The 14,010-nt window shown below is 38.6% G+C and overlaps 1 protein-coding gene, 1 long non-coding RNA gene and 1 other non-coding gene across 12 annotated transcripts in view; 2 read left to right on the top strand and 1 right to left on the bottom strand.

The window, feature by feature from the left end:
* The window catches only part of ANKRD45 (ankyrin repeat domain 45), a 106,850-nt gene that overhangs the window by 47,133 nt on the left and 45,707 nt on the right, over positions 1 to 14,010 (top strand). For 7 of the 8 annotated variants that reach the window (NR_158771.1, XM_017001123.2, XM_047419195.1 and 4 more), the window contains one exon: positions 8,620 to 8,962. Coding sequence is in view for 7 of the 8 variants with exons in the window: in XM_017001123.2 (XP_016856612.1) it covers positions 8,620 to 8,962 (343 nt within the window). In the remaining variant the exon portion in view is untranslated. Of the gene's footprint in view, positions 1 to 7,501; positions 7,534 to 8,619; positions 8,963 to 14,010 lie in introns of all 8 variants that reach the window. The other variant, XM_024446627.2, reaches the window with a different exon arrangement.
* The window catches only part of LOC105371619 (uncharacterized), a 44,005-nt gene that overhangs the window by 13,657 nt on the left and 16,338 nt on the right, over positions 1 to 14,010 (bottom strand). The window contains exon 2 of one of the 3 annotated variants that reach the window (XR_007066736.1): positions 5,739 to 7,950. The exons of the other annotated variants lie outside the window; for them this stretch is intronic. This is a non-coding gene — a long non-coding RNA (uncharacterized LOC105371619). Of the gene's footprint in view, positions 1 to 5,738; positions 7,951 to 14,010 lie in introns of those variants that run through there. 3 annotated transcript variants of the gene reach the window in all.
* LOC124904822 (small nucleolar RNA U13) lies at positions 7,853 to 7,956 on the top strand. Its single transcript, XR_007067418.1, has one exon. It is a non-coding gene; the product is annotated as a small nucleolar RNA U13 (small nucleolar RNA).

The following is a 14,010-nucleotide window of genomic DNA, read 5'->3' as shown; positions in this document are numbered from 1 at the left end:
TGTTTATTAATTCCTTAAAAAATAAATTCACATGTAACATAATTATATATTTCTCATAAAAATATTTTCCAGAACAAAAGAATTAGTTAGAAAGTGGCATTATTTTACATTTCTGCAAATGTCTTTAATTTCTGGCTTAATGGGAGACAGATTCTTATGTCTGCTTCTGCAGTCTATCCGTTGCAATATGTTGTTTTGAAATATGTAAAGAAAATTCCTCCTTACATAGATATATAGTTGGAAAAGGGAAGAGTATTTTAATAGCTTTTTCAGATAATTGTGCACATTTTTGTGACTGCACCAAAACTCTGCAAGTGGTAGTTTCTTTTTCTTTCTTTTTTTTTTTAAGATGGGGTCTCATTCTGTTGTGCCAGGCTGGAGTGCAGTGGGGTGATCTTAGCTCACTGCAACCTCTGCCTCCTGGGTTCCAGTGATTCTCCTGCCTCAGCCTCCTGAGTGGCTGGGACTACAGGCGCCTGCCACTATGCCCGACTAATTTTTTTGTGTGTTTTTAGTAGAGACGGGGTTTCACCATATTGGCCAGGCTGGTCTTGAACTCCTGACCTTGTGATCCGCCCACCTCAGCCTCCCAGTATGCTGTGATTACAGGTGTGAGCCACTGCTCCTGGCCACAAGTGGTAGTTTCTTAAAGGCTGGTTGCAGTGTGGAATCTGAAGCCATGTCAATGAACGTTTCATACTGTGTTACATTAAAATCTATTGATCTGTCTTATACTTTGGATCTTTTACCCATGCTTGATATTGTAACATAATGGAAAATGGCAGGGGGAGTGAAGCTGATTTTGTAAAGAAGAAAAGCAGTCATTCAAATCAAGCAAAATGTTGCTTCATTTAGTTATACCAGTTTTCCAAATGTTAACATGTTTCATGCTGTAATATTTTTAAAAGCCCACTTTCATTAATATCATCTCTGATCTCATCATAAAAGTATTGGGAAGTCGTTGGCCAACACATGGCCAGTATGAGTTTTCTAAAATGCAAATTGCAGCTGGGCACGGTGGCTCACACTTGTAATCTCAGCATTTTGGGAGGCTGAGGTGGGAGGATCACTTGAGGTTGAGACCAGCATGGGCAACATAGCCAGACCCCCTGTCTCTACAGAAAAATTAAAAAATTAGCCTGGTGTGATGGCACACATCTATAGTCACAGCTACTCAGAAGGCTGAGTTGGGAGGATTGCTTGAGCCCAGGAGTTCAGGCTGTAGTGAGTCGTGATGGCATCACTGCACTTCAGCTTGGGTGACAGAGTGAGATCTTGTCTAAAAAAAAAATTTTTTTTAAATGCTATTTGTGTTAGAGTTCTTCAGAGAAACAGAATCAATACAATATATATAGTCCTCTGTATCTGCGGATTAAACCAGCCTTGGATCTAAAATTTTTTGAAAAAACATGGATGGTTGTGTTTGTACTAAACGTATACAGACTTTTTCTCTTGTCATTATTCCCTAAGCAATACAGTATAACAACTATTTACATAGCATTTACATCGTATTAGGTATTATAAGTAATCTAGATTTAACATATATGGGAAGATGTGTGTAGGTTATATGCAAATACTACACCATTTTATATAAGGCACTTGAACATCCATGGATTTTGGTATCTACAGGGGTGGAGGGTTCCTGAATCAATCCCCCCATGAATACTGAGGGACAACTGTATATATGAATAAATATAGAATAATTTATTATAAGGAATTGGTTCATGTGATTATGGAGGCTGAGAAATGTCAAGATCTGCATTCAGCAAGCTGGAGATCCAGGAGAGCCATTTGTGTAGTTCCAATCCAGGTCTGAGGGCCTGAGAAACAGGAAAGCTGATAGTATAAGTTCTAGTCCCAGCCTGAGCCTGAAGGTAGATGCCCAGCTTGAAATTAGGCAGAGTGAATTCTCCCTTACTTAATCTTTTGTTGTATTCAGGCCTAGTTATTTTTCATAAACTATTTTTTCGTTAACAAGTAATGTGTTTAAGATGAATTAATACGTACTTTATTTGTGGTTTTTTTGTTGTTGTTTTTTGGAGACAGGGTCTTGCTCAGTCATCCAGGCTGGAGTGCAGTGGCGTGATCATAGCTCACTGCAACCTCTGCCTCCTGAGCTCAAGCGATTCTCTCACCTCCACCTCCCAAGTAGCTGGGACCACAGGCATGTGCCCCCATGCTCAGCTATTTTTTTTTCTGTATTTTTTGTAGAGATGGGGTTTCGCTGTGTTGCCCAAGCTGGTCTCGAACTCCTGAACTCAAGTGATCCACTCACCTCAGTCCCCCAAACTGCTGGGATTACAGGTGTGAGCCACTGTACCTGGCCTCAGTTTTAATTTCCAATATAAATATTAATTTAGATATAACTCATATAAACAAAAATTCCCTGGGGTTCTCAATTTTTAAGACTGTAAAGAGCCCTGAGATCAAAGAATTTGAGAACCACTGCCCTAATTATGTTGGTTCTGGGCTGATATAGAAATTAAGCTCCATTCAAGGGTATAACAAGAGTAGCTTTGAATATTCTGGACCAAATCATAGTTCAAGATTTGATCTAGTTTGTCTTCATATCTTTGAATTAACCTGGGATCAGACTGATCTCTAAATGTGGAATAATATGTTGGTAATCAAGTGTCTGGTGGTGGTAGGGTAGAAAATTATTTATTCATACCTTGCATAGGAATAAACTATGGCATATTAAAAAAGAAGAAGAGCTGGGTGTGGTGGCATGGGCCTATAGTCCTAGCTACTTGGGAGGTGGAGGCAGGAGGATTGTGAGCCCAGCTACTTAGGATCCAGGGCAGGAGGATAGCTTGAGCCCAGGAGTTCAAGACCAGCCTGTGCAATGTAGCAAGACCTAGTTTTTTGTTGTTGTTGTTGTTGTTTATTTTTTTAAAAAAGAAAATAAGTAGCATTACCATCTTTTCTTTTGCTTCATGGATGATTTTGCTGGAGGTTTGATGATGACCTAATAATGATGATGGTAGCTTCTATTTACTAAATGTTCCCCATGTGCTTGGCATGTACATCACCTAATTTATTTTAATTCTTAGAACAATCATAGACTAGGCTCTAGTGTTATTCCTACAAAAGAGTATGTAAATTGCCCAGTATTATGCAGCTAATAAATTGAGGGATTGGATTGTGAACCCAAGTCTCTCTGACTCCAAAACCCATTGCTCTTGGCTATGAAAAAAAGCACTGGGAATTGCAAGCTTGACTTTAAGAGTTATTGAATATATATGACTTGTTAAGAATTGTGGTAAGTCTGAAAGTAACACAAAGAAATGTAAGGCTTGATTCCTGCACCCAGCAAGTTTACAACCTAATTGGATAGATTACGTACTTGAAACAATTAGGAAATAATATAATATCATATTTGGTAAGTTGTATTGTATAGACTATACATAATGACCTTTGGAGTTCAGAATATTGAAAGGCCAGTGTACACTCAAGAGAGGAATTAGGGAAAGGCTTAGGAAGAAAGTGGGCTTATAGCTTGGCCTAAATAGGATTTGGGTAGTTGGAATGTAGGAGATGTAAAGCTATTCTAGGTCTTATAGCAGGAATACCTGTGAAACAAAAATAGGAATTTCTCAGTATCTTCAAGGTCTCATGGCTGGGACCCTGGTGTTCCAGTGAAAGGCATTCCAAACACATCCTGCCTCTATTCTCTAAGGTTTGAATATGGATATCTTTAGCAGAAATGTTTCAAAAGATTACAACTACTATTAATAGAGTGACAAAATTATTGTCTAATAATAACAGACACTTTTGAGAGTGAAAGTAGATGCTATTAAAAATTATACCAGGAAAACAGCTATAACGGGAAATGTCCTGCATACATTGGGACATATGTCACCCAAGCTATTAACCATAAACACAAGCTGTTTAACTTCTGTTAGAGTCCTTCTTGTTGATTTCCTGGTATAGTCTCCATAGTGCTTATTCAAGACTCATGTTTTTACACACTGTGGGTTGTATCCCATTTAGTGGGTCATACAGTCAGTTTAGTAGGTGGCACCCAGCTTTAAAAAAATAGAATGCGACAAAAAACAGTGATATGTTACCTGTAGTAAAGAGAAACATTGCTTTGTTTTAAAAAGAAATATATATGTACAAATATAGCCATATATGCCATGTATCCAGGATAAAATTGTCCATTGTTACTGAACAATAAATTATGTGGATACTCTATTGATAGTAGTTACATATATTTACATATAAAATTAAAATGTCATAAACTAATTTACGTATAACAGAAATAATTTATACAAGATATAAAATAATATATACGTATTTGAAGAGAACAACCACCTCATGGTCTAAATTATCCTTTCAGGCTCCAGCTATTATGCTTGAAATCCAGTGGGAAGGAATTAAGCATTCCTGGAATTTGCAGTCTATATATCTGATTACATCTTATCGCTTACTATTTGGACATGTGGCCACACCAATATTACAAGAGAGATTGGAAAATAGTCTTATTCCACCATAAAGATCAGTTTAGAAAAAAGCCTTGTTAAAAGAAAAGAGGGTGGGGTTCTATTCCAAAAGAAGAGAGGGTGGGGTTCTATTCCAAAAGAAAAGGAGATGAGATTTTGGGGAAGACAACTAGTAATTACTGGGAGGCTGAAAATGAGGAAACCAAGGGAACTGTGGAGGATCAGACCACAAGAACCACAGTATGTTCTCATAGCAGGCAGTTTGATCAGCATACTATTTCTGTCACTTGCGATGAGTGCCCTTCAACTAGCCTCATTTCCTTGTGTCCCTTGTTCAAGATTCAAGATCGCAGGATAGATCCCCTGATGGGCTGAGCTTAAATAATGTGCCTGCCCCCAGGCTTGTGCTGAGAGAGAGAAAAGAAGAATCCTGCTTCTTAGTCTTCCGGTGTGGGAAGTTAGCTATATCTTTTATTAGAATTCTCTGAAACTGAGATAGGAGTGCTTTAAAGAAGGTGTGTGTGTGTGTGTGTGTGTGTGTGTGTGTGTGTGTTGGAAGGGTGGGGAGTTGGATGTCAGACACTGAAGAATTATAAGTTTCCACTGTAATTCTTCTGTAAAATGAAAGAGTTGAACTAAACCATCTCAAATACAAGACATGCACCAAATCTTATGGTTGAGTCATTGTTGATTGGGTAACTCAACTCCCATTTCCAATCCCTGTCTACCTTGCTTGCCTCTATCACAGAGGCTGGAAAATCAAGAAACTTGCTTTTTTTCCTCCCTCTCCTCTTAAAGATGGGGTAGCCACACCGCATTGTACAGTCTGGCCTTTGAGATATAACTGGAAGTTTGTTGGGACTTGTTAGAAAAGATTTTTGTTTTGCTTTCCCCTTAAGAGGGATTGGAAGGATTGATATCACTGGTATCCTCTAGGTGATTTCCCCATTCTTCCTGCCATCAATTAAGATGAGATTTCAGGAGTTATAACATGAGGCAAGAGTTGTGAAGATGAAAGTCTTACACACTAAGTATGATGGAGTGATAGAAAGAGGTTGGATCTATATTTTTGAGCTGCTGAACCATCTCCATCTTTAAATTTCTCATTATGTGTGAAAAGAATCTCCTACTTTTAAATAGTCAGTCTTACTTGGCTTTTGTATTATTTACAGCCAAAGAATTCCTAACAGCTTACAAGCATTATACACATTTACAGAAGGAAGGGATTAATGTAGGGTAGTAATAGAGAAGTTTCTAATATTCTACCAATTTAAAATGCATATCACAATGATCTTTCGACTATTATCCTATTTATTTTCTTTACTTCACCATAGCAGTAAATGACAATTTTCTTTTCTTTCAGCACTCTTTAGGACTGTTATTTCTTAAGAACAGGGTCAGAAAACTATGGCCTGTGGACCACCACCTGTTTTGTAAATAAGGTTTTCTTCAAACACAGCCACACCCATTCATTTGTGTATTGTCTGTAACTACTTTCAAGCAACAACTGCAGAGTTGAGTCGTTAGAATAGAGACAGAGGGTCCACAAGCCTAAAATATCTGCTCCCTGGCCTTTTACCCCTGCTTTGGAATGCTGTTCCATTTTCCTGTGGCCTTCATAGTCTTTGTCATTCTCTGCAGTCCTACTTCAGTATCACCTTGAATGTTCTTTTTCAAGTTTTTTCTCTTCACTTCCCTGTTATTTCCTAGTGTTTCACCATGTTTATTTCCTTGGAAACACTTATAACAATCTAAAATTATCACTTTTTTTATTTTTTATTGCCTGTTTCCAATCAGAATATATGCTTCATGATAGGAGGGATCTTTCCTACCTTGTTGAATCCTCAGGATCTAGCATAGTGCCTGGCATAGAGGAAGGAATCCAGTAAACACTGAATTATATGAGTGAATAATTAAAGCCCCAATTCACACTAATTTAGATTTCTGTAATAACTGTCTAATTGATTTTTCTTTTTTGCCTCTAGTCTCTTACTCCTCTAATCTATGTCACTCAGGCTTGTCGGATCAATCTCCTTGAAACCTACTTAGTTCCTAGCACTAAAACCTTCAGCTAACTGTCCTTAATTGCTCCTTGCTCTACCAGTTGTCTACAGAATCAAGTTCAGACTTGCTGATGCAATCCCAGCCTCTTTTTAAGAGCAGACTTCTTGCTTATTTTGAATGGCCTATACTTAACCAAATTGGCCAACATGCTCATTCCCAAAAATACCTGTGATCTTTGCTTTGGTGCTTTAACTTAGTTATTCCATCTGGAATTTCCTTCTTTCTGACTTCTGAATGACAGTCTTGCCCATTCTTGATGGCTCAGCTTAAATGTTAATATTCTTTACTAAACATATAATTCCCTTTATCACATTTCCCACATCTTGTCTTCTCCCACTACCCTTCACCCCTGGTAAACATGATCTTGAATCTGTGTTCAATGTTGCTTTTTGTCTTTTTTTTCTGTGTAGTGTTACTGCATCTACTTGTATTCCTAAAAAGTCTGTTTAATTGCTTTTCACTTGACAAAAATACATCTTGAGATATATATATATAATCTTTTGGATTTACATTTTTCATGTGATATATTGGTAAGATTCATTTATATTGTTCTGTGTCTTACTTACTGCTGTGTGACAAATGAGCCCTAAGCTTGTTAGGTTAAAAACAACACTCATTCATTATCTCAGTTTCTGTGGGTCAGGAATCTAGGCACAGGTTAGCTGGATCCTCTACTTCAGGATTTCTCATGAGGCTATAATCAAGGTGTTGCCTGAGGCCATAGTCACCTCAAGGTTAACTGGGCCAGATCTACTTCCAAGCTCACTCAGTGGTTGCTGGCAGAATTAAGTTCCTTATGGAATTGGATTAAGAGCTTTGATTCTTACTGGCTGTTGAACAGAGATCACCCTCAGTTCCTTGAAAGGTGGCCTTCTCCATCACAGCGCATGAGAAGAGCCAGGGAGAGAATATCAGCAAGACAAAATCACAGTCTGTTGTAACTGAATTACAGAATTTACATCCCCTCATTATTGCTGTACTCTCTTCATTAGAAGCCAGTCACTAGGTCCAGCCCACATTCAAGGTAAGGAAATTACACGAAGGTATGAATACCAGGAGGCAGGGGTGGGACATTGGGAGCCTTGTCAGAACTTGCCTACCATATGGCATATCATTGTAATTTATTTCTTTTAACAGTTATATACCATTTTGTGTGAATATACCAGTTTATGCTCATCTTCTTGGACATTGGTTTTCCCTTCTGGGTTTTTTGCTGTTGTGAACAGTGATGCCACAAACATTCTTGTACGTAATGAAGGGACTCTGGTACTCTTCTCTGAATCTTTCCCAGTTTAATACTGTGTTCTGACAGACTGAAGCACCATTAAGACATCCTTAGTTAGATCCTTTTGTAATTCATAGGTGTGATTATTGGGTTTTCATGCTCATGTGTGAGAGGTACCTCCTTCAAACCTTGTTACAACACGGGCACATTTCCTGTCTGTTGTGAAAAAAAAAGAAACATCTTGAATAATTTTATCTGGAATTAATCTTATTGCTTCTAAACTCCCATAGCATTTCTCCCATAGCATTATTACTACTTGTCACCTTTTATTACACTTATTTTGTGCACTTCATATTTTTTCCTTTGAAATAGTAACTTGTTGAAGGTAGGAAATAAATTTGATTCTGGTTTTCACAATTTACACAGTGCTTTCAGTATGTGTTACTGACTGAATGAATTCTGTTTAAATGTCGTTGCCTAATTTTTAATCATAATCTGGCTCCAGTAACCCAATTATATTTCTCACTTCTCTCATACAAGGACCCTTATTTAGGCAAGTGGGTCTCTTAGACATTCTTTTTCAATCTCTTCCTAATGAATTTAGATCATATGATCTCTTTCTTCTCCTGTTTCTATTGAATTTATTATTTATTTCACACATTTAACATTTTAGTATATACTTGAGCTATGTTATATGTACCTACTCATAATAGGTACACAATAAACTTTATTGATGGAATTGCTGAAGTATCTTACTTTATAGTTATTTTCAAATAGTTAAGTATTTTTATACCATCTATATTGTCAGTTGACTGAGCAAATAAATAAACAAATACTGATGTGTTTGAGTAGATTTTTATCACTTTTTTATTTTTTTGGTCATAGGTATTTTTGGAGTTAATGGAGTCAGAAGGACCTCCAGAGTCAGAGAGTTCAGAATTTTTCTCACAGCAAGAAGAGGAAAATGAAGAAGAAGAAGCCCAAGAACCAGAGGAAACAGGCCCTAAGAACCCCCTTTTACAACCTGCTCTCACAGGGGATGTAGAGGGTTTGCAGAAGATATTTGAGGATCCTGAGAATCCTCATCATGAACAGGCCATGCAGCTTCTCTTAGAAGAAGACATCGTTGGGAGAAATTTGTTGTATGCAGCTTGCATGGCTGGGCAAAGTGACGTGATTAGAGCTTTGGCAAAATATGGTGTGAATCTGAATGAAAAAACCACCAGAGGTATTTTGTCTTTTTTCTCTCATCAGTATTACTTATGACTACCTAAAGATGCAATGTAATATCTTTAAGGTTAGATATATTTGATGTGCCTGTTTTATACTTTACATATATGTGTATATACATCTATATGGGTGTATGTATGTGTATACATGTAAATGTATCAATGTTGATATTACATAGTATAGTATTTTAGAACATAGACTTTACTATTTATTAGCTGTGTGACTTGGCAAGTTACCTGATCTTTTTGTGTATCTGTTTTTCCATCTGCAAAATGGGGATAATAATTATATTTTCCTTATAGGGTATAATGAGGATTAAATAGGATAAAATAAATATTTTAGTGCTTGGCATATCGTAAATTGATATATAGTAAATGTGTAATAATTTACTGTTATCTCTTTCCTTTGAAGATTTATTAATTTTTTAGCAATCATTATCTAAGTCGCTTTTTAAATTCAGTAATTATTTTTTCAGATTGCAAATATAATACGTGGTCATGGTAGAAAATAAAAAAAAGATCATCAGCATGATCTTCAGCAAAGAAAGGATATACATTCTCTTCATGCTCACATGGAACATTTAAAAAATATTGATCATATGTTGAGCCATAAAGGAAGTCTTAACAACTATCAAAGTATCTATAGCATATAGTCTTTGATCAGTGACTACAACAAAATAAAATTAAAAAGTAGTAACAAAAAGGTAACTGAAAACTGAAAACAAGAACACACTTCATTTATTTTTTATTTTCATTTTTATTTTTTGAGACAGGGTCTCACTCTGTCGCCCAGGCTGGAGTGTAATGGCATGATCTCAGCTCACTGCAACCTCCGCCTCCCAGGTTCAAGTGATTCTCACACCTTAGCTTCCTGAGTAGCTGGGACTACAGGCATGGGTCACCACGCCTGGCTAATTTTTGTATTTTTTGGTAGAGACGGGGTTTCACCATGTTGGCCAGGCTGGTCTCGATCTCCTGACCTCCAGTGACCCACCTGTCTTGGCCTCCCAAAGTGCTGGGATTACAGGTGTGAGCTATGCATCCAGCCAAGAACACACTTTAAATCATCTATTGGTCACAGAAGATATAATGAAAATTATGAAATGTTTAAGTGACAACAGCATCACTCTATGTCTGAACCCATGGGATACAACTAAAATTAAAATTCTAGTATAATACATATATTAGAATATAAGAAACATAAAAAATTTAGTAAACAAAGCATTTGACTGAAGAAATTAGAAAAAGAACAACTGAGTAACCAAAGAAAATAAAAGAAAAATAATTGAATAAATTAATGACATTGAAAATAAAGAAATAGGCCAGAGGCCAGGTGCAGAGGCTCACACTTAAAATCTCAGCACTTTGGGAGGCCGAGGCAAGAGGATTGCTTGAGGTCAGGAGTTCAAGAACAGCCTGGGTGACATGATAAGACCCTGTTGCTGAAAAAAAAAAAAAAAAAAAGAAGAAGAAGAAAGAAAATAGAAAACAGAATAGATGGAAAGGAAAGGATTGATAATACCAAAATTGGGTTCACTGAAAATGAGTTGAAAAACATTTGATTATACACATACACATACACAGACACACACATATTTGTTGTTCTCTTTTTTTTTTTTCTTGAGACAGAGTCTTGTTCTGTCACCCAGGCTGGAGTGCAGTGGCACAATGTTGGCTCACTACAGCCTCCACCTCCTGGGTTCAAGCAATTCTCCTGCCTCAGCCTCCCGAGTAGCTGGGATTACAGGCATGCACCAACATGCCTGGCTAATTTTCGTATTTTTTAGTGGAGAGGGGGTTTTGCCACGTTGGCCAGGCTGGTCTCAAAATCCTGACCCCAGGTGATCCACCTGCCTTGGCCTTCCAAAGTGCTGGGATTATAGGTGTGAGTCACCGCGCCCAGCCGAGCTTTAATACTATTAATCAGAGAGAGACAGCACAAATAATATTTGGAATTGAAAACATAGAATATTAACACAGAAAAAAACCTAAGATGTAAAAAAAATCATTAGAGCCAGGTGTGGTGGCTCACACCTGTAATCCCAGCACTATGGGAGGCCAAGGTGGGAGCATAGCTTGAGCCCAGGAGTTTGAGACAAGCCTCCCTACCTCCTGGGCTCAAGCAATGCTCTTCCTTCGGCCTCCCAAAGTGCTGGGATTACAGGCATGAGCCACTGCATCTGGCTCGTGATGAAAGCTCTTAGGGAAATAGGAATAGAAGAAACTTTCCTTAAGGCTGTCTATCAAAAACCCAAAGCGAACTTACCCAACATTGGATTTTTCAGAAGCATTCTTTATAATCAGAAATAAGACTAAGATATTTGTTATTATGGCTTCCATTTATCATTATAATAGAGGTTCCAGCAAGAGCAGTAAGAAGGGTAAGAGAAATAACACAGTATTGTGCTAGAGCCAGCTTTTATGAGCTCTGAAGAACTGATTGTTAAATTTTCAGAGTTTCTGTGAATTGGTTGACGTCATGTTGATAGCTGTTGAAACTGGCCATGTCGGGCCATACATCACAGTAATTGGCTAATGATACAAATCAGGGCTTTTTTCTCCAGATAACTAGTTATACATTTACCAGCACACTACTGGATATAAAGATTAGAGTATAAGAAACAAAACTCTGATTATTCATAGGTACATAGACTTAAATTCAAGGGAATCTACTATTAGTGCTAAGAGAGTTTAGGAAGAATATGAACATAAGACCAATATCCCAATCAGCAACTTTCTATATACCATGAACAACAAGAAAATGTGATACAAATAAAGATCTTATTCATAACAAAATGATAAAGAAACTAGGAATAAGTCTGACAAAAGAATGGTTTAAGACATGGGTCCATTACAAGATGGCCAAATAGGAACAGCTCCAGTCTGCAGATCCCAGCATGATCGACGCAGAAGACGGGTGATTTCTGCATTTCCGACTGAGGTACCTGGTTCATCTCATTGGGACTGGTTGGACATTGGGTGCAGCCCGTGGAGGGTGAGCCAAAGCAGGGCAGGGCATCGCCTCACATGGGAAGCACAAGGGGTCAGGGGATTTCCCTTTCCTAGCCAAGGGAAGCCATGATACACTGTACCTGGAAAAACGGGACATTCCTGCCTAAATACTGTGCTTTTACAACAGTCTTAGCAAATGGCACACCAGGAGATTATATCCCGTGCCTGGCTTGGCGGGTCCCATGCCCACAGAACCTTGCTCACTGCTAGCACATCAGTCTGAGATTGACCTGTGAGGCAGCAGCGTGGCAGGGGGAGGGGCATCTGCCATTGCTGAGGCTTGAGTAGGTAAACAAAGCAGCCAGGGAAGCTCGAACTGGGTGGAGCCCACCACAGCTCAGCAAGGCCTGCTGCCTCTGTTGACTCCACCTCTGGGGTCAGGGCATAGCTGAACAAAAGGCAGCAGAAACTTCTGCAGAATTAAATGTCCCGTCTGACAGGTCTGAAGAGAGCAGTGGTTCTCCCAGCATGGCGTCTGAGCTCTGAGAACGGACACACTGCCTCCTGATCCCCATGTAGCCTAACTGGGAGACACCTCCCAGTAGGGGCCGACTGACACCTCATACAGGTGGGTGCCCCTCTGGGACGAAGCTTCCAGAGGAAGGATCAGGCAGCAATATTTGCTGTTCTGCAATATTTGCTGTTCTGCAGCCTCTGCTGGTGATACCCAAGCAAACAGGTCTGGAGTGGACCTCCAGCAAACTCCAACAGACCTGCAGCTGAGGGACCTGACTGTTAGAAGGAAAACTAACAAACAGAAAGGAATAGTATCAACATCAACAAAAAGGACATCCACAGCAAAACCCCATCTGTAGGTCACCAACGTCAAACACCAAAGGTAGATAAAACCACAAATATGGGGAGAAACCGAGCAGAAAAGCTGAAAATTCTAAAAACAAGAGCACCTCTTCTCCAAAGGATCACAGCTCTTCACCAGCAACGGAACAAAGCTGGACGGAGAATGACTTTGATGAGTTGACAGAAGTTGGCTTCAGAAGGTCAGTAAAAACAAACTTCTCTGAGCTAAAGAAGGATGTTTGAACCCATCGCAAGGAAGCTAAAAACCTTGAAAGAAGATTAGACGAATGGCTAACTAGAATAAACAGTGTAGAGAAGACATTAAATGACCTGATGGAGCTGAAAATCATGGCAGGAGAACTATGTGATGCATGCACAAGCTTCAGTAGCCAATTCGATCAAGTGGAAGAAAGGTTATCAGCGATTGAAGATCAAATTAATGAAATAAAGTGAGAGGACAAAATTAGAGAAAAAGAGTAAAAAGAAATGAACAAAGCCTCTAAGAAATATGGGATTATGTGGAGAGACCAAATCTACATTTGATTGGTGTACCCGAAAGTGATGGGGAGAATGGAAACAAGTTGGAAAACACTCTTCAGGATATTATCCAGGAGAACTTCCCCAACCTAGCAAGGCAGGCCAACATTCAAATTTAGGAAATTCAGAGAACACCACAAAGATAATCCTCAAGAAGGGCAACCCCAAGACACATAATTGTCAGATTCACCAAGGTTGAAATGAAGGAAAAAATGTTAAGTGCAGCCAGAGAGAAAGGTTGGGTTACCCACAAAGGGAAGCCCATCAGACTAACAGCTGATCTCTCGGCAGAAACTCTATAAGCCAGTAGAGAGTGGGGGCCAATATTCAACATTCTTAAAGAAAAGAATTTTCAACCCAGAATTACATATCCAGCCAAACTAAGCTTCGTAAGTAAAGGAGAAATAAAATCCTTTACAGACAAGCAAATGCTGAGAGATTTTGTCACCACCAGGCCTGCCTTACAAGAGCTCCTGAAGGAAGCACTAAACATGGAAAGGAACAACTGGTACCAGCCACTGAAAAAACATGCCATGTTATAAAGATCATTGATACTAGGAAGAAACTGCATCAACTAACAGGCAAAATAATCAGCTAACATCATAATGTCAGGATCAGAGTCACACATAACAATATTAACCATAAATGTAAATGCCGCAATTAAAAGACACTGACTGGCAAATTGGATAAAGAGTCAAGA

This window comes from Homo sapiens, chromosome 1 (assembly GCF_000001405.40).
Source record: "Homo sapiens chromosome 1, GRCh38.p14 Primary Assembly".
NCBI classification, from domain to species: domain Eukaryota; kingdom Metazoa; phylum Chordata; class Mammalia; order Primates; family Hominidae; genus Homo; species Homo sapiens.
The sequence above is the reverse complement of the archived record's forward strand: the minus strand, read 5'-3'. Positions and strand labels throughout refer to the sequence as shown.